This window comes from Homo sapiens, chromosome 9 (genome assembly GCF_000001405.40).
Source record: "Homo sapiens chromosome 9, GRCh38.p14 Primary Assembly".
Taxonomy (NCBI): Eukaryota; Metazoa; Chordata; class Mammalia; order Primates; family Hominidae; genus Homo; species Homo sapiens.
Window position 1 is genome coordinate 134,080,249 of NC_000009.12, and position 21,064 is coordinate 134,101,312.

Genomic DNA, 21,064 nt, shown 5'->3' on the forward strand with positions numbered 1-21,064 from the left:
TCCTTTCTTTTCTTTTCTTTTCTTTTTTTTTTCCAGATAGAGTCTTTGTTGCCCAGACTGGATGGATCTTGGCTCACTGAAACCTCTTCTAGGCTCAAGTGATCCTCCCACCTCAGTCTCCCAAGTAGCTGGGACTACAGGTGCATACCACCATGCCTGGCTAATTTTTGTGTGTGTATTTTTTGTAGAGATGGGTTTTGCCATGTTACCCAGAATGGTCTCCAACTCCTAGGATCAAGCAATCCACCTGCCTTGGCCTCTGAAAGTACTGGGATTACAAGCATGAGCCACTGCACATAGCCAGCACCCCACTTTCTTGTTGTTGTTGTTGTTTTGTTTTGTTTTGTTTTTGTTTTTGTTTTTTTGAGATGCTTGCTTTGTCACCCAGGCTGGAGTACAGTGGCACATCTCGTCTCACTGCAACCTCTGCCTCTTGCGTCCCAACAATTCTTCTGCCTCAGCCCCCTGAGTATCTGGGACTATACGCATGAGTCAACACAACTGATTACTTTTTGTATTTTTAGTAGAGACGGGGTTTCACCATATTGGCCAGGCTCATCTTGAACTCCTGACCTCAAGTGATCCACCCACCTCAGCCTCCCAAAGTGCTGGGATTACAGGCATAAGCCACCGTGCCTGGCCAGCCCCCAAAATTTATATGTTGAAGTCTTAACCCTCAGTACCTCAGAATGTGACTGTATTTGGAGATAGTGTCTCTAAAGAAGTCATTAAGTTAAAATAAGATCATTAAGGTGGGCCCTAATCTAATATGACATGTGTCCTTATAAGAAGAAAAATATCTAGACACAGACAGTACAGAGGTGAAGACATACGGAGAAGATGGCTGTCTACAAGCCAAGGAGATAGGTCTCATAAGAAACCAATCCTAGGCTGAGCCCAGTGGCTCATACATGTAATCCCAGCACTTTGGGAAGTTGAGGCAGGGGAAGTGCTAAGGCTAGGAGTTCATGACCAGGCTGGGCTATAAATTAGACTCTGTCTCTACAAAAAAAGTTTAAAAATTAACTGGTCACAGGACACGTCCGTAGTCCCAACTACTTGGGAGACTGAGGTGGGAGGATCACTTGAGCCCAGCAGTTCAAGGATGCAGTGAGCCTTGATCGCAGCATTGTGCTCCAGCCTGAGTGACAGAAAGAGATGGAAGGAAGGAAGGAAGGGAGAGAGGGAGTCCCTGCACATGCTCTCTTGCCTGCTGCCACGTAAGATGTGCTGTTGCTCTTCCTTTGCCTTCCACCATGGTTGTGAGGCCTCCCCAGCCATGTGGAACTGTGAGTGCATTAAGCCTCTTTCCTTTATAAATTACCCAGTCTCAGGTATGTCTTTATTACCTGCATGAGAATAGGCTAATACAGTGTGGTACTGGCACAAGCATAGACACATAGATCAATGGAACAGAATTGACAGTCCAGAAATAAACCATATATCTGTGGTCAATTGATTTTTGACAAGGGCACCAAGACTATCTAATGGGGAAAAAATAGTCTTTTCAACAAATGGTGCTATGATAACTGTATATTCACATGCAAAAAATGAAGTTGAAGCTGGGTGCAGTGGCGCACACCTGTAATCCCAGCACTTTGGGAGGCTGAGGCAGGTGGATCATTTGAGGTCTGGAGTTCAAGACCAGCTCGGCCAACATGGTGAAACCCTGTCTCTACTAAAAATACAGAAATTAGCTGGGCATGGTGGTGCATGCCTATAATCCCAGCTACTGGGGAGGCTGAGACAGGAGAATTGCTTAGAGCCTGAGACACAGAGGTTGCGGTGAGCCGAGATTGTGCCACTGCACTCCAGTCTGAATGACAGAGTGAGACCCTGTCTCAAAAAAAAAGAATGAAGTTGGGCCAGGTGAGGTGGCTCATGCCTGTAAGCTCAGCACTTTGGGAGGCTGAGATGGAAGGATTGCTTGAGTCCAGGAATTTGAGAACAACCTTGGCAACATGGTAAGACTCCCCATCTCTATCAAAAAAAGTTTTTTAAAAAAGAATGAATGTGGACCCTTATCTCACACCATATATAAAAATTAACTCAAAATAGATCAAAGACCTACATATAAGAGTGAAAGCCAGCCGGGTGCGGTGGCTCAAGCCTGTAATCCCAGCACTTTGGGAGGCCGAGGTGGGCGGATCACGAGGTCAGGAGATCGAGACCATCCTGGCTAACACGGTGAAACCCCGTCTCTACTAAAAATACAAACAAAAAAAAAATTAGCCTGGCATGGTGGTGGGCACCTGTAGTCCCAGTTACTTGGGAGGCTGAGGCAGGAGAATGGCATGAACCCGGGAAGCGGAGCTTGCAGTGAGCCGAGATCATGCCACTGCACTCCAGCCTGGCCGACAGAGCGAGACTCTGTCTCAAAAAAATAAAAATAAAAATAAAAGAGTGAAAGCCAGGCTGGGCGTGGTGGCTCACGCCTGTAATCCTAGCACTTTGGGAGGCTGAGGCAGGTGGATCATGAGGTCAGGAGTTCAAGACCAGCTTGGCCAATATGGTGAAACCCCATCTCTACTAAAAATAAAAAAATTAGCCAGGTGTGGTGGCACATGCCTGGAATCTCAGCTACTTGAGAGGCTGAGGTAGGAGAATCGCTTGAACCTGGGAGGTGGAGGTTGTGGTGAGCCCAGATTGCACCACTGCACTCCAGCCTGGGCAACAGAGCGAGACTCCATCTCAAAAAAAATAAAATAAAAAAAAAGAGTGGAAGCCATAAAACTCTTGGAAGAAAACATGGAGGTAAATCTACAAGACCTTGGATTTGACAATGGATTATTTGGTACTAAAGTAAAAGTTCAAGCAACAAAAGAAACAATGGATACATTTAACTTCATCAAAGTTAAAAACTTTTGTGCATCATATCAAGAAAGTGAAAAGACAACCCAAAGAATAGGAGAAAACATCAACAAATCATATATTTGATAATGGCATAGTATCCATAATATATAAAGAATTTATACAACTCAACAGCAAAAAAACACATGAAAAGATGCTCAACACCATGAGTCATCAATGATGTACAAAATCAAAGCCACAGTGAGATTCCACTTAACACCCAGCAGGATGGCTGTAATTTTTGTAAAAAGGAAAATAAATGTTGGCAAGGATGCGAAATAATTAGAGCCCTCATGTATTGCTAGTGGAAATGTAAAATGGTACAGTCACTGTGGAAAACAGCTTGGCAGTTTCTGAAAAAGTTAAACATGGAATTACCATATGACCCAGCAATTCCATTCCTAGGTATACACCCAAAAGAACCGAAAACGGGTGCTCAAATAAAAACTTGTAAGAATAAGAACTGTTCATAGCAGCATTATTCATAATAGTCAAAAGGCAAGAAAAAACAAATGTCTATCAGCCAATGAATGGATGAAGAAAATGTAGTATATCCTTATACAACAGAGTATTAGTCATAAAAAGGAATGAAGTACTGATACATGTTACAACATGGATGAATCTTGAAGATATTAGGGGCTACATGAAAGAAGCCAGAAACAAAAGACCACATCTTGTATGATCCCATTTATATGAAATGTCCACAAGAGGCAAATCCACAGAGACAGAAGGTGGATTAATGGTGGCTCACATCTGTAATATCAGCATCTTGGGAGGTCAAGGCAGGAGGATCAGTTGAGCCCAGGAGTTACAGACCAGCCTGGGCAACAGAGTGAGATGCTGTTTATCAAAAAAAAAAAATTAGCCAGGCATGATGGTCCATGCCTGTGGTCCCAGCTACTCAGGAGTCTGAGGTGGGAAGATTGCTTGAGCCTGGGAGGTTGCCAAGGGCTGGGGAGAAGACAAATGGGAGTGAGTGTTAATGGGTACTGGGTTTCTGTTTAGGGTAAAGAAAATGTGCTGGAATTAGGCAGAGGTGATGATTGCTCAGCATTGTAAATATGCTGGAAGTCATTAAATTATACACTTTAAAATGGTTAAAATGGCAAATTTTATGTTATGTGAATGTTACATCCATAGTAAGATTTTTAAAATTTATTTTGTTTTTAGAGACAGAGTCTCACTCTGTCACCCAGGCTGAAGTGCACTGGCACAACCATGGCTCACTACAGTCTCGACTTCCCAGGCTCAAGCAATCTTCCAACCTCAGCCTCCTGAGTAGCTGGGACCACAGGCATCCACCACTATGCCTGATTAATTTTTTTTTTTTTTGAGAGACAGGGTCTCACTATGTTGCCCAGGCTGGTCTCTAACTCCTGGGCTCAAGTGATCCTCCTGCTTTGGCTTCCCAAAGTGCTGGGATTACAGATGTGAGCTGCTACACCCGGCCCAATAATGATAATTTTTAAAAGCCGCTGGCTCACCCTCATTCTGATGGCTAGTTGTCTGGAAGAATGCAGAAGGGAAGGAGATGGTTTCACCCTTGGGAGACACCACCAATCCAAGGCTCTTCAGAAACAGTGGGGCCCTGGAAAGGTTAGCAGTGGGGAGGTGGAAAGAGGTTAAAACACAGAGAGAACAACCAGCGGAAAAGAATGTGTCACCTACAAAAGAATGGCAATAGAGCCGGGCGTGGTGGCTCACGCCTGTAATCCCAGCACTTTGGGAGGCCGAGGTCGGGGGATCACGAGTTCAGGAGATTGAGACCATCCTGGCTAACATGGTGAAACCCCGTCTCTACTAAAAATACAAAAAATTAGCTGGGCATGATGGTGGGTGCCCGTAGTCCCAGCTACTCAGGAGGCTGAGGCAGGTGAATGGTGTGAACCCAGGAGGCAGAGCTTGCAGTGAGCCAGGATTGTGCCACTGCACTCCAGCCTGGGCGACAGAGTGAGGCTCCGTCTCAAAAAAAAAAAAAAAAAAAAAAAAAGGCAATAGAATAGCAGCAAGGCTGTCCATAGCAGAAAAGGAAGCCAGAGAGAAAATAACTGTCTACCTAGAATCCTCTAAATAGTGACACTATTGTTCATGAGGAAGGGCAAAATAAAGACTTTTTCTCAAACTGCCATGAGAGCCCTTGGCAGAAACTGTCCTCACTCTGAGGCCCACTTGAATTGACACTTCAATAAACAGATGTTGAACCCTGAGAAGGAATCATGAGTGAGGAAATCAGAAGACGTGTGGGTAATTGCAGATGAGCTTGGACTGCAGATACCATATATGGTAGGTAGAGACTTCAGGTTGACCCCAAATGCCCATGCACCCCCTTTCTCAGTCATCGAGTCCCCGATTTCTACTGGATGTGAGGCCTGCCCAGATAAAGACTACCTTTTCCAGCCTCCCTTGCAGCTGGGAGTGGCCAATAGGGTAAGAGTAGATTTGGTGTTTGTATCTCTGGGAATGATCCATCCTTCTCTCCTCCCCTAATACTGCTGGAATGGGGCCAGAGGGCCATGCTATAGCTTGAAAGTGTCCCCTAAAAGTTCACATGCTGGAAACTTGTAACAGTATTAAGTGGTGGGGCCTCTAGGAGGTGATTAGTTTCCACCCTCTTGAATGGATTAATGCCAATATCACTGGAATGGGTTTGTTTTCACAAGAGTGGGCTCCTGATAAAAGGATAAGTTTGGCCCCCAATTTCTCTCTGTCTTGTGTACTTGACTTGCCCTTCCACCATGGTATAAATGCAGCAAGAAGGCCCTTACCAGGTGCCTGTGCCGTGCTGTTGGACTTCGCAGCCTCTGGAACCATGAGCCAAATACATTTCTGTTCCTTAAAATTATTCAGTTTGTGATATGCTGTTATACAGCAGAAAACAGACTAATGCAGGCCATTATCTTGAACATGATGCTATTGCTCCTCTGTCTTTAGAAGAGGAGAAACCCCTGCCCAACTGGTCCTGGCTCCTTCCCCATGGGCTTGCTTGCTTTTCTTTCTCTCTCTCTTTCTTTCTTTCTTTTTTTTAGGGTCCTTCTCTGTCACCCAGCTTGGAGTGCAGTGGTGTGATTATGGCTCACTGCAGCCTCACCCTCCCAGGCTCCAGCAATCTTCCTGCTTCAGCCCCCCAAATAGCTGGGACTACAGGCACATGCCACCACACCATCTCTTTAAAGCAAATCCCCATCTGTTTTTTTTTTGTTTTTTTGTTTTTTTTGGGTTTTTTTTTTTGAGACGGAGTCTCGCTCTGTCGCCCAGGCTGGAGTGCAGTGGTGCGATCTCGGCTCACTGCAAGCTCCGCCTCCTGGGTTCACGCCATTCTCCTGCATCAGCCTCATAAGTAGCTGGGACTACAGGCTCCCACCACTACGCCCGGCTAATTTTTTGTATTTTTAGTAAAAATGGGGTTTCACCGTGTTAGCCAGGATGGTCTCAATCTCCTGACCTTGTGATCCACCCGCCTCGGCCTCCCAAAGTGCTGGGATTACAGATATGAGCCACCGCACCCGGCCACAAATCCCCATCTCTTAAAAAAAAAAACAAATCCACAAAGTTCCAAAGAACAAACCTTGAATTTGTGCACTGAGTACTACATTGAATCCACACAAGTAAAGTGATGTTATAGGCATTGTACTAGCTATTTTAAGTAATCTAGAAATGATTTAAAGTATATTTAAACCAGATGGTGGGGCAAAGTGGCTCATGTCTGTAACCCCAGCACTTTGGGAGGCCCAGGCAGGAGGATCGCTTGAGTCCAGGAGTTTGAGGCCAGCCTGGCCAACATGGAGAGACCCTGTCTCTACAAAAAAATGAACAAAATTAGCTGGGCATGGTGGCACATGCCTGTGGTCCCAGCTACTCAGAAGGCTGAGAAGGGAGGATTGCTCGAGCCCAGGAGGTTGAGGCTGCAGTGAGCCAAGTTTGCGCCACTGCACTCCAGCCTGGGCAACACAGCAAGAACCCATCTCAAAATGTTTTAAAAAGTATCTGGCCGGGCGTGGTGGCTCACACCTGTAACCCCAGAATGTTGGGAAGCCGAGGCGGGCAGTTCACCTGAGGTCAGGAGTTTGAGACCAGCCTGACCAACACGGAGAAACTCCGTCTCTACTGAAAATACAAAATTAGCCAGGCATGGTGGCACATGCCTGTTATCCCAGCTACTCAGGAGGCTGAGGCAGGAGAATCGCTTGAACCCGGGAGGCAGAGGTTGTGGTGAGTTGAGATCGTGCCATTGCACTCCAGCCTGGGCAACAAGAGCGAAACCCCGTCTCAAAAAAAAAAAAATAGTATATGGAAGGATGTGCACAGGCTCTGTGCAAAGAGTATGCTACTTGACATCAGGGACTGCAGCCTCTGCATATTTTGGTACCCACAGGGTCCTTGAACCAGTCCTCTGCAGGTGCTGAGGGCCAGCTGCCCATGCAGCTGTGAAGGGCATGAGTGTTGGTGTCCGACAGATTGGGGCTTGAGTTCTAACTCTGCCCCTTGTTGTGTGACCTTCAGCAAGTTACTTCACCTCTGTGGGCCTCAGTTTCCTCCTGTGTGAAGTGGAGATTATAATGGAACTCACAGTATAGGAATTCCAGGGGATAAGGAGATAGTGTCTATGTGGCGAGGTGGAGCAGCACAGCCAGGGCCGCCCAGGTCACAGTGCTGAGAGGCGAGCAGAGGCACGGGAGGACCGTGGGCATCAGGCCTGATGGCCCAGGGAGTCCCGGCAGTGGCAGTGTGTGAAGGACAGACCCCTGGGGCTCACTGCCTTGGGTATGAGCCCCCTGACCTCAAAGGCCCCATTAGGAGCTAGTGTCACCCTTGACTTCCCCCAGCCCCACTCCCCACATCCAGTTGGCCACCCTGTCCTGTGGTTTCTACCTCCTAAATATCCCTCCAATGTGTCCACTCCCTCTTTTCCTGTGTACCTGCAGTGGCCTCTGAGCTTCCACAGAGTAGCTGGAGGGGACATGTCCTTGCTGCTGACAGTGTACCACAGCTGCACAATGTCCCCAGCCTGGCCTGCAGTTCACGCATGCTCCTGTCTGCCCACTGGCCTGCCCACCCTGTCTGGGCTGCTCTGGCCCCTCCCAGATCCTCAGACTTGCCAAGCTCCGTCCTGCCACAGGGCTCTGGTGTAGCCTGTTCTCTCTGCTTGGAACATGCTCTTCTCTTCTGCCCTGCTCCTCCTGGCTTCTGCTGCTCAATCTCCCTGGCTCCCTTCAGGGAAGCCTGCCCTGGCAACACCCCACCCTTTTGAGCTCTTACATGCGCAGCCACACCCTGCCCATGGCAGGACTCACCCCACTGTGTATGTGTGGTCACAGGCACGAGGCTTTGACCGCATCTCATTTGCCTTGGCCCCGGGGCTGCAGCTCTGTAGCTATCTCAGCCCCCTGTGTGTCCCCACTGCTTGGCACCGATGATGAGCTCAACACAAGAGGCTTCATGCACGGCCCTTGCCAGGCAGCGAAGGGGAGCGTGAGGAGCAGGTGAGGTCACTGGACTGGCACACGGGCTCATTTTAGGAGACTCTTGAAGCTCTTCAAATCGGTACTTTAAATCTAGGCCAAATTGTACATCAATACCTTCTGTTAAGAAGGGAAGGATAGACCGGGTGCGGTGGCTCACACCTGTAATCCCAGCACTTTGGGAGGCTGAGGCAGGCGGATCACGAGGTCAGGAGATCGAGACCATCCTGGCTAACACGATGAAACCCCGTCTCTACTAAAAATACAAAAAATTAGCCAAGCATGGTGACAGGTGACTGTAGTCCCAGCTACTCGGGAGGCTGAGGCAGGAGAATGGTGTGAACCTGGAAGGCTGAGCTTGCAGTGAGCCGAGATTGCGCCACTGTACTCCAGCCTGGGCGACAGAGTGAGACTCCGTCTCAAAAAAAAAAAAAGAAGGGAAAGATGGCCCGGCCAGGCATAATGGCTCATGCCTGTCATCCCAGCACTTTGCGAGGCTGAGGTGGGCAGATCACAAGGTCAGGAGATCGAGACCATCTTGGCTAACATGGTGAAACCCCGTCTCTACTAAAAATACAAAAAATTATCTGGGTGCGGTGGCGGGCGCCTGTAGTCCCAGCTACTTGGGAGGCTGAGGCAGGAAAATGGCGTGAACCCGGGAGGTGGAGCTTGCAGTGAGCCGAGATGGCGCCACTGCACTCTAGGCTGGGCGACAGAGTGAGACTCCATCTAAAAAATGAAATAAAATAAAATAAGAAGAAGAAGGGAAAGATGGCTGGGCGCCGTGCTCACACCTGTAATCCCAGCACTTTGGGAGGCCAAGACAGGCGGATCACAAGGTCAGGAGTTCGAGACTAGCCTGGCCAACATGGTGACACCCGTCTCTATCAAAAATAAAAAAATTAGCTGGGCGTGGTGGTTGGTGCCTGTAGTTCCAGCTATTCGGGAGGCTGAGGCAGGAGAATCGCTTGAACCTGGGAGGCAGAGGTTGCAGTGAGCCAAGATCGTGTCACTGCACTCTAGCCTGGGCGACAAGAGCGAGACTCCATCTCAAAATAAATAAATAAATAAATAAATTTTAAGAAATAAAAGAAGGGAAAGACATTGTTGCTCATGTCCTTGCACTCCCGTGGGGCGTGTCTGCATTTTTGGGGATGGGGAGAGTCATGCTGACGTGAAGGTTTTCTGAAATAAGTCGGGGAATGCGAATGAGACTGTGTGTGTGTGTGTGTGTGTGTGTGTGTGTGTGTGTGTGAGAGAGAGAGAGAGAGAGAGAGAGAGGCAGACAGAGAGAGAGAGAGGCATGAAGATCCTGTCTTCCTAAGAGGCTTCGGACAGAACAGGAAGTAGGTGTCAGGAGACAGAAGGTGAAAGAGGAGGCGGGGTCCTGCCAGCTGCCTCTCGTTCCTGGGGCGTCTGTTCCTATTCCTCTTTGCGTGCTCTCACCTGCAAATGGGGCACAGCGCATCCAGAACCAGACAGCCCTTCTCTGCTCCAGCCCTGGACTACCTTGGATTCAACATTGTGGCTGCTGTCCCTGTCCCACCTTATGTGAGGAAACCACAGGTTAGAAGAGACATGTATGGGTAGGTGTCAGAGCCTGGACTGGACACAGTCTAGTGCCAATGCCCGGGGGCATAACCACTCGGCTCCCTGGCCTTGTGCCCACATGTACAAGGTTGTGCATACACCAGGGTGTCCACAGAGGCCAGGAAGTGGCAGGTTAAGAAGGGGGTCAGAAAGTGGAGACTGTACACAATCATGATGACCCCTAGAGCTTTGCCAGGCTGAGGTGACATTGCAGAAGGAGTTGCAGCCCTCCTTGTCTTCCTAGGTGCCCAGACTTTTTGGGCCCCACTTGTGCCCAAGGCCGTTCAGGGTAGTGACACCAGCTGTAGCCGACAAAGAAAGGAGGATGGATGCCTGCCCGAGAGTGTCACTAGGCCGTGATGAGCCAAGGCCCCAAAAGACACCCTCCTGGCCAAAGATCATGTTTCTACTCACTTTTTAAAAACGTTTTATTTTAGAATGATTTTTCTTTTTTTGAGATGGAGTCTCGCTTTGTTGCCCAGGCTGGAGTGCAGTGGCACGATCTCAGCTCACTGCAAGCTCAGCCTCCCGGGTTCACGCCATTCTCCTGCCTCAGCCTCCTGAGTATCTGGGACTACAGGCACCTGCCAATAAGCCCAGCTAATTTTTTGTATTTTTAGTAGAGACGGGGTTTCACCATGTTAGCCAGGATGGTCTCGATCTCCTGACCTCATGATCTGCCCACCTCAGCCTCCTAAAGTGCTGGGATTACAGGCGTGAGCCACCATGCCCAGCTAGAATGATTTTACATTTGTAGAAAAGTTACAAAGACAGTACAGAAAGTTCCTACAGACCGCCCCCCCAACCCAGTTCCCCCATTGTTAACTTCTTACATCACCAAGGCACACTTGTCATAACGAAGAAACCAATGCTGGAGCAGGAAGTGTGATGCTTCCAGCTTTATTTTTAATTTCTCAAGGTTGCTTTGGCTATTCAGAGACTATCGTGGCTCCCTGTGAATTTTAGAATTGTTTTTCTCTATTTCTGTGAAAACTGCCATTGGAATTTTGATAGGGATTGTGTCGAATCTGTAGATCATTTTGGGTAGTATTGGGCATTTTAATAATATTAATTCTTCCAATCCATGAACATAGGCTATCTTTCCATTCATTCATGTCTTCAATTTTTTCATCACCTTTTTTTTTTTTTTTTTTTTGAGATGCAGTTTCACTCTTGTTGCCCAGGCTGGAGTGCAGTAGTAGGATCTCAGCTCACTGCAACCTCTGCCTCCTGGGTTCAAACAATTCTCCTGCCTCAGTCTCCCCAGTAGCTGGGATTACAGGTGTCTGCCACCACACCCAGCTAATTTTTTGTATTTTCAGTAGAGATAGGGTTTCACCATGTTGGCCAGGCTGGTCTCAAACTCCTGACCTCAGGTGATCTGCCCACCTCAGCCTCCCAAAGTGCTGGGATTACAGGTGTTAGGCACTGTGCCCTGCCTCATCAATGTTTTACAGTTTTCAGTATACAGGTCTTTCATCTTCTTGGTTAAATTGATTCCTAAGTACTTTATTATTTTGGATGCCTTTGTAAATGGCATTGTTTTCTTGCTTTCCTTTCCAGCTGTCCTGTTATTGATATAAAGAAATATAACTGATTTTTTTTTTAAGAGAGAGAGACAGGGTCTTGCTGTGTAGCCCAACTTGGTCTGAAACTCTTGGCCTCAAGCAATCCTCCTGCCTCAGCCTCCCAAAGTGCTGGGATTACAGGTGTGAGCCACTGTGCCCAGCCAGAACTGATTTTTATATGTTGATTTTGTATCCTGTGAGTTTGTTTGTTAGTTCAACTAACAATTGTTTTGTGGAGTCTTCAGGGTTTTCTACAAATAGAATCATGTCATAGCAAACAGAGATAATTTTACTTCTTCCTTTCCAATTGGGATTGCTTTTATTTATTTTTTCTTGTCTGATTCCTCTTGCTATTACTTCCAGTGCTACGTTGAATAGAAGAGACAAGAGTGAGCATACTGTCTTGTTCCTGACTTTAAAGGAAAAGCTTTCAGTTTAGCTGAAAGTTAGCTGTTTTGGTTTAACTGTTGGCTTTTCATAAATGGCCTTTATTATATTGAGGGAATTTCCTTGTATATCTAAACTGTTGAAAGTTTTTATCAAGAAAGGATGTTGAGGCTTGGTGTGGTGGCTCATGCCTGTAATCTCAGCACTTTCGGAGGCCAAGGCAGGTGGATGCCTTGAGCCCAGGAGCTCAAGACCAGCGTGGGCAACATGGTGAAACCCCATCTCTACAGAAAATACAAAAATTAGCCAGGCGTGGTGACACACGCCTGTAGTTGAAGGGGTGGGTTGCCCCTCCACACCTGTGGGTGTTTCTCGTTAGGTGGAACGAGAGACTTGGAAAAGAAAAAGACACAGAGACAAAGTATAGAGAAAGAAATAAGGGGGCCCGGGGAACCAGCGTTCAGCATATGGAGGATCCCGCCAGCCTCTGAGTTCCCTTAGTATTTATTGATCATTCGTGGGTGTTTCTCCGAGAGGGGGATGTGTCAGGGTCACAAGACAATAGTGGGGAGAGGGTCAGCAGACAAACACGTGAACAAAGATCTTTGCATCATAGACAAGGTAAAGGATTAAGTGCTGTGCTTTTAGATATGCATACACATAAACATCTCAATGCTTTACAAAGCAGTATTGCTGCCCGCATGTCCCACCTCCAGCCCTAAGGCGGTTTTTCCCTATCTCAGTAGATGGAACGTACAATCGGGTTTTATACCGAGACATTCCATTGCCCAGGGACGGGCAGGAGACAGATGCCTTCCTCTTGTCTCAACTGCAAGAGGCATTCCTTCCTCTTTTACTAATCCTCCTCAGCACAGACCCTTTACGGGTGTCGGGCTGGGGGACGGTCAGGTCTTTCCCTTCCCACGAGGCCATATTTCAGACTATCACATGGGGAGAAACCTTGGACAATACCTGGCTTTCCTAGGCAGAGGTCCCTGCGGCCTTCCGCAGTTTTTGTGTCCCTGGGTACTTGAGATTAGGGAGTGGTGATGACTCTTAAGGAGCATGCTGCCTTCAAGCATCTGTTTAACAAAGCACATCTTGCACCGCCCTTAATCCATTTAACCCTGAGTTTGACACAGCACATGTTTCAGAGAGCACGGGGTTGGGGGTAAGGTTATAGATTAACAGCATCCCAAGGCAGAAGAATTTTTCTTAGTACAGAACAAAATGGAGTCTCCTATGTCTACTTCTTTCTATACAGACACAGTAACAATCTGATCTCTCTTGCTTTTCCCCGCAGCAGTCTCTGCTACTCGAGAGGCTGAGGCGGGAAGACTGCTTTAGCCTGGGACACAGAGGCTGCAGCGAGCCATGATTGTGCCATAGCACTCCAGCCTGGGTGACAGAGTGGCCCTGTCTAAAAAATATATATACATATGTTATATATATATAGAGAGAATATATATATAGTATATATATACTATACTGTATATATAAATACTGCAGTGTATTTACTATATACTATATACTATTATTTACTATATACCATATATACTATATACACTATAGTGTATTTACTATATATTGTATAGTAAAGCTATAGTGAACAAAGTGGGATGGTACTAGCATAAAAACAGACATATAGACCAGTGGAAAGTCAGCCCAGAAATAAACCCAAGCAGATACAGTCAACTAATTTTCAATAAGAGTGCCAAGAGGACTGTATTAGTCTGTTCATACACAGCTATCATGTGCAAGAACCTGAGACTGGGTAATTTCTAAAGAGGTGTAATCGGCTCACTGTTCTGCAGGCTGTACAGGCTTCTGCTTCTGGGAATACCTCAGGAAACTTACAATCGTGGCTGAAGGTGAAGGAGAAGCAGTCACGTTTACCTGGCAGGAGCAGGAAGAGAGAGTGAAGGGCGACGCACTACACACTTTCAAACAACCAGATCTTGTAAGAACTCTATCACAAGACAGCAAAATGGGAGGATGGTGCTCAACCATTAGAAACACCCCCGTGATCCAATCACCTCCCACCAGGCCCCACCTCCAACACCGGGGATTATAATTTAACATGGGATTTGGGTGGGGACACAGAGCCAAGCCATATGAGGGACACAATGGGGAAGTATAGTCTCCTCAATAAATGATGTTGGGAAGACTGGATATCCATGCGCAAGAGAATGCAATTAAACCCTTATCTTACACCATACAAAAAATCAAGTCAAAGTGAATTAAAGACCTAAATGTAAGACCTGAAACCATAAATCCCCTAGAAGAAGACAGGGGGAAGGCCCCTTGACATTGGCTTTGGCAATGATTTTTTAGATATCACACCAAAAGCTCAGGCAACAAAAGCATTGAATAAACAAATAGGACTACGTAAAACTAAAAAGCTTCTCACAGCAAAGGTGACAATGGACAAAATGAAAAGGCAGCCAATGGAATGGGAAAAAAATATTTGCAAACCATGCACCTGATAAGGGATTAATATCCAAAATATATAAGGAACTTATATAACTCAATAGCAAAAAATCCCACAAATATCCCAGTTAAAAATGGGCAAAGAACCTGCATAGACAGTTTTCAAAGAAGACAAAAATTGCCAATGGATGTTTAATTGTGACATTTAACAGATATCCTTGCAGTTTAAGATGATACTTTAAAAATGAATTATCTCCTAATGATTACTTGAGCCCTGCCAATCAATGGGAGAATCAGCAGAACCGGTAAGATCTTATTTGGAATTGACATTTTCTATTGTAATTTTCTTCCTGTTTATTTTAAAAATTTCCTTCTGTTTCACTGGAAAGGACAGGTGATACTCAGTTGGTTTTTTTTTTTTCGAGACGGAGTCTCGCACTGTCGCCCAGGCTGGAGTGCAGTGGCACGACCTCGGCTCACTGTTCACGCTATTGTCCTGCCTCAGCCTCCCGAGTAGCTGGGACTACAGGCGCCTGCCACCATGCCTGGCTAAATTTTTTTGTATTTTTAGTAGAGACGGGGTTTCACCACGTTAGCCAGGATGGTCTCGATCTCCTGACCTCGTGATCCGCCCGCCTTGGCCTCCCAAAGTGCTGGGATTACAGGCGTGAGCCACAGCGCCCGGCCAATGCTCAGTTTTAAATGTGCAGTGGTGTACACCTGTAATCCCAGTTACTTGGGAGACTGAGGGGGCCAGGAATTCAAGACTGGTTTGGGCAATATAGCAAGACCTTGCCTCTAAAAAAATTATTGTAAAGGCTGGGCATGGTGGCTCACACCTGTTATCCCTGCACTTTGGGAAGCCAAGGCAGGAGGATTGCTTGAGTCTAGGAGTTTGAGACCAGCCTGGGCAACATAGTGAGACCCCATCTCTGCAAAAAATAAATGTAAAAAACTAACCAGGTATGGTGGTATGTGCCTGTAGTCCCAGCTACTCAGGAGGCTGAGGTTGGGAGGTTCACTTGAGCCCAGGAGCTCAAGGCTGCAGTAAGCAATGATTGTGCCACTGCACTCCAGCCTTGGTGACAAAGCGAGACCCAATATCTAAATTAAAAAGGAAAATGTGTACAAGTTGCTTTGTTACAATAAGACTAAAGGTGTACACACACACACAATGGCCAACTGGTCTATGAAAAGGTGCCCAACATCACCAATGATGACAGAAATGCAGAAATGCAAACGCCAGGGTCTGAATGTTTGTGTTTCCCCAAAATTCATAGGTTGAAACCCAATCCCCAAGACGATGGCATTAAGAAGTGGGGCCGGCTGGGTGCAGTGGCTCACGCCTGTATTCCCAGCACTTTGGGAGGCCAAGGTGGGCAGGTCACGAAGTCAGGAGTTCGAGACCAGCCTGGCCAATATGCTGAAACCCCATCTCTACTAAAAATACAAAAATTAGCCAAGCGTGGTGGTGCGCCCCTGTAATCCCAGCTGCCTGTGAGGCTGAAGAAGAAGAATTGCGTGAGCCTGGGAGGTGGAGGTTGCAGTGAGCCAAGATCGTGCCATCGCAATCCAGCCTGGGTGACAGAGAGAGAGTCCATCCATACAAAAAAAAAAGTAGGGCCTTTGGGGGTGATCAGATCGTAAGGACTCTGCCCTCTTAAAGGGGATTAATGCCCTTGTAAGAGAGGCATGAGAGAGCTTGTTCACCCCTTTCACCATGTGAGAGCACAAAGAAGGTGCCATCTGAGGAATGGACACTTAGCAGATCCTCAGTTAGCTGGTGCCTTGATCTTGGACTACCCAGCCTCCAGAACTGTGAGCAATCAGTTTCTGTTGTTTATAAAGTACCCAGTCTAAGATATTTTGTAATAGCAGTGCGAACTGACCATGGCAGCAAATTAAAACCACAATGAGATATCACTTCACACGTTAGGATGGCTGTAACCAAAAGACAAGGGATAAATGTGAGCAAGGCTGTGGTGAAAGGTACATTTGTACACTGTTGATGGGTATGTAGATCGGTACCATCATTATGGAAAACAGTATGGAGGCCCTTCAAAAAACTAAAGGTAGAACCACCATATGATCCAGCAATCTCTCTTCTGGGAATATAGCCAAAGGAGATGAAATATAAGCACTTCATAGAGATACCCGCACTCCCATGTTCAATGCGGCACTATTCGCAATAGCCAAGGCATGGAATCCACCTAAGTGTCCACTGACAGAGGCCTAGATAAGGAAACTGTGGTCTACACATGCAATGGAATATTTCCAGCTCTTCAAAAGGAGATTCTGGCTGGGCACGGTGGCTCACACCTGTAATCCCAGCACTTTGGGAAGCCAAGGCGGGCAGATCACCTGAGGCCAGGAGTTCAAGACCAGCCTGGCCAACATGGAGAAACCCTGTCTCCACTAAAAATACAAAAAATTAGCCAGGCGTGGTTGCGGATGCCTGTAATCCCACCTACTCAGGAGGCTGAGGCAGGAGAATCGCTTGAATCCAGGAGGCAGAGGCTGCAGTGAGCCAAGATCATGCCATTGCACTCTAGCCTGGGCAACAAGAGTGAAACTCTGACTCAAAAAAAAAGGAGATCCTGCCTATGCGACAACATAGATGAACCTGAAGACATTATGCTAAATGAAATAAGCCAAACATAGAAGGAAAAGTACTGCATGATCTCATGTATATATGAAATTTTTTTTTGCGGGTGGGGGTGGGGATGGAGCCTCACTCTGTTGCCCAGGTTGGAGTGCAGTGCAGTGGTGGTATCTTTGCTCACTGCAACCTCCACCTCCCTTCCTGGGTTCAAGTGACTCTCCTGCCTCAGCCTCTTGAGTAGCTGGGATTACAGGTGCGTGCCACCACGCCTGGCTAATTTTTGTATTTTACTAGAGACAGTGTTTCACCACGTTGGCCAGCCTGGTCTTGAACTCCTGACCTCAAGTGATCCACCCGCCTCGGCCTTCCGAAGTGTTGGGATTACAGGCATGAGCCACAGCACCTGGCCAAAATATTTTTTAAAAGTGTCAAATACGGCCGGGCACGGTGGTTCACGCCTGTAATCCCAGCATTTTGGGAGGCCGAGGCAGGCGGATCACGAGATCAGGAGATCAAGACCATCCTGGCTAACAGGTGAAACGGCATCTCCACTAAAAATTCAAAAAAAAAAATTAGCTGGGCATGGTGGCGGGAGCCTGTAGTCCCAGCTACTCGGGAGGCTGAGGCAGGAGGATGGGGTGAACCTGGGAGGCAGTGGTTGCAGTGAGCCGAGATCGAGCCACTGCACTCTAGACTGGGCAACAGAGCGAGACTCCATCTCAAAAAAAAAAAAAAAAGGTGTCAAATACATAGAAACAGTAGAACAGTGGTTACAGGGGCTTGCAGGTGGTGGAGATTGAGATGGAGGCCAAAGGGTACAAAGTTAAAGTTACACAGGATGAATGAGTCTAAAGATCTAAAGTCCAGCGTGAGGACTATAGTCATCAATAATAATGTATTGTATACCGAAAACTTACTGAGAGTAGATTTTAGGGGCTCTCAGCACGCACACAGAGGGGGCAACTATGTGAGACGATGGACATGCTCATTTGTTTGACTGTTGTAAGCATTTCACAACGTTACATGGTGCACATTATTATTATGATTACAAACAGGGTCGCACTTTGTTACCCAGACTGGAGTGCAGCGGTGCCATTATAGCTCACTGTAGCCTCAAACTCCTGGGCTCAAGAAATCCTCCCGTCTCAGCTTCCCAAAGCTCTAAGATTACAGATGTAAGTCACTGTGCCCAGCCTGCGCTTTAAATAGTCTATATTTAAGTATTAATTATGGCCGGGTGCGGTGGCTCACGCCTGTAATCCCAACACTTTGGGAGGACATGGTGGGTGGATCGCTTGAGGTCAAGAGTTTGAGACCAGCTTGGTCAACATGGCGAAACCCCCATCTCTACTAAAAATACAAAATTAGTCGGGCATGGTGGCACATGCCTATAATCCCAGCTACTCGGGTGGCTGAGGCAGGAGAATCACTTGAACCTGGGAGGCGGAGGTTACAGTGAGCTGAAATCATGCCATTGCATTCCAGCCTGGGTGACAAGAGCGAGACTCTGTCTCAAAAAAAACCCCCAAACTATTCCTTAAATAGTACATTAGGTATATATGAAATAGCATATATTTAATAATAATAAAGAAACTGACATGGATATATTGCTATTTTTTTTTCTAGACAGGGTCTCACTCTACCACCCAGGCTGGCATGCAGTGGTGCAATCAAAGCTCACTGCAGCCTTGAACTCCTGGCCTGAAGTGATCCTCCTGCCTCAGCCTCCCAAAGTACTGGGATTACAGGAGTGCAGCACCACACTCGGCTGGTACATTGCTATTAATTAAACTCAGGTTACATTTGGATTTCACCAGTCTGCCTGCCAATGCCCTTTTTCTGTTCGGAATCCAACCTAGGGCACTGCTTTGCACTGAGGTGTGAGTTCCCTCCCATCTCTGACAGTTTATCAATCTTTTCTTGCTGTTTATGACCGAGACAGGTTTGAGAAGCACGGATGGGGTATTCTGCAGAATGCACCCCCATCTGGGGCTGTCTGAGGTTTGCTCCTGATCAGTCTAGAGAGAAGACCGTGAAGCCAAGTGCCTTCTGCTCACGTTCGTCACAGCAGGGACCCATGCAGCCCATGAGACCTCATCGCCCGGGGTCACGCCCACCAGGCACCTGCACTGTGACGTTGCTGTTCCCCTACTCGGTACTCTGTTCTTTGGGAGAGAGAAGAGAGGCACTAAGCACATTGCACTCTCACAGGGCAAAGGTTTTAGCTCCACCTCCTGGAGGGGGACAGTACTACATGTCACTTGGGATTCTTCCATTCTTCTCTAAGGAAGATCTGTCTCTCCACCATTTATTCAATCACTATGAACTGATGTATATTTATGTCATACTTTGGGTCATAATCCAATGCTACATTATTTATTTTGTTGTTCTAATCATCCCAGCTTTGGCCACTGGGTGCTCTTTCCAGGTTGGCCCTGTGTCCCTGTGACCTGCCCCGTCCTTTTGTTTCTTGAGCAATTCCCTACTTTCCGTCATTACTTAATGCTCCAGGCTTGAAACAAAAGATGTCACTCTGACCGTGCGCAATGGCTTACACCTATAATCCCAGCACTTTGGGAGGCAGAGGTGGATGGATCACTTGAGGCCCGGAGTTTGAGACCAGCCTGGCCAACATGGCAAAACCCTGTCTGTACTAAAAATACAAAGAATTAGCCAGGTGTTGGAGCACGTGCTTGTAATCCCAGGTACTCAGAAGGCTGAGGCACAAGATTCGCTTGAACCCAGGAGACAGGGGCTCCAGTGAGCCAAGATTGTGCCACTGCACTCCACACTCCAGCCCGGGAGGCAGAGTCACACTCTGTCTAAAAAAGAAAAAAAAAAGATACCAGCCTGACTCCCCAGCTGATTCATTTAGTCTTCTGGCAAGTCTCTGTTAAGCACCTGCTGCATACCCACTGCTGTAACAGTGCCAGGAACATAGTGTGCATAAAGCCTTCCTCCATCCATATCTTCAAACAACAGCCCATGAAGCCCGTGCTCTGTCCCCAGAGTTGTACCGGGCTTAGGGGATTCTGCAGAACATAGCAGATGAGACCTCTGCCCTTGCAGAACATGCACCTGAGTGGTGCAGAGAGACCTAAAGTCATAATGACAGCAGCAGCTGTGTGCGGTGAACCCTGCTGAGGCTACCAAGGGGGCTAGTGGGGAAAGCCTGGAGCCCTTTGTGACAGGCAGAAGTGGTAAGCCTGGGCTCTACCCTAAATCTTTGGAGCGAGCTGCTGCTGCAATCCTCCCAGTGACTGCGTGGCTCTAGATAAGGCACCTTTCCAGAACCTCCTCTCATTTCACAGGGGCCAGAATGGGACCAGGCCATCTATTTCCACATCATGTGGATGGAGAAACAGAGGCCGTGTTCAGGACCCCAGAGCCAGGGGGCCCTTGGCTAAGACCCTCTCCCCCTGGCCGGGTCCAGCATTCCAGACTGGAAATCAGAGAGGACAACATCCTAGATACAGGGACCAGCACTGACCAGGAGTTCACAGAAAGGCCATCCCTGCCCCTAGACACACTGTTATATGTAAATGCTTGTTCCCCGGTGCTGCAAAGAAATAGCACTTGAACATAAATTTAATCCTCTCAGCAAGGCCTTTTGTACTTTCTGCAGAAAGGGTGCTCATCGCAGATGGAATAATGGCGAGAGCACATCCGAACAAAGGAGGGAAGCAATTTTTATTCCTCACGCAGTTTGTCCCAGCTACTGCGTCCTGTCTCCATTGGCAGGAGCCAGACCGCACAATCTAAACTAAAACCTGATTGGCTAACAGTTTAAAACTTTTCGGCCAGGCGCGGTGGCTCACGCTTGTAATCCCAGCACTTTGGGAGGCCGAGGCGGGCGTATCACGAGGTCAGGAGATCGAGACCATCCTGGCTAACATGGTGAATCCCTGTCTCTACTAAAAATACAAAAAATTAGCCGGGTGTGGTGGCGGGTGCCTGTAGTCCCAGCTACTCAGGAGGCTGAGTCAGGAGAATGGCGTGAACTCGGGAAGCGGAGCTTGCACTGAGCCGAGATCGTGCCACTGCACTCCAGCCTGGGAGACAGCAAGACTCCATCTCAAAAAAAAAAAAAAAAGAAATTTTCTAAATAGGTAAAAGTAATGGAAGGATAAAGGAAAAGAGGAAGTTGCTTACGAAAGGACTTAGAAAAGTAATAACAT

The 21,064-nt window shown here is 47.3% G+C and overlaps 2 annotated features.

The window, feature by feature from the left end:
- Positions 11,627-12,406: an enhancer, noted in NCBI's record as "NANOG-H3K27ac hESC enhancer chr9:136956997-136957776 (GRCh37/hg19 assembly coordinates)". NCBI's record gives its function as "activates a minimal SCP1, AML or CMV promoter by ChIP-STARR-seq in naive H9 embryonic stem cells {active_cell/tissue: H9 hESC(naive)}" and the evidence as "EXISTENCE:reporter gene assay evidence [ECO:0000049][PMID:30033119]".
- Positions 12,407-13,186: an enhancer, noted in NCBI's record as "NANOG-H3K27ac hESC enhancer chr9:136957777-136958556 (GRCh37/hg19 assembly coordinates)". NCBI's record gives its function as "activates a minimal SCP1, AML or CMV promoter by ChIP-STARR-seq in naive H9 embryonic stem cells {active_cell/tissue: H9 hESC(naive)}" and the evidence as "EXISTENCE:reporter gene assay evidence [ECO:0000049][PMID:30033119]".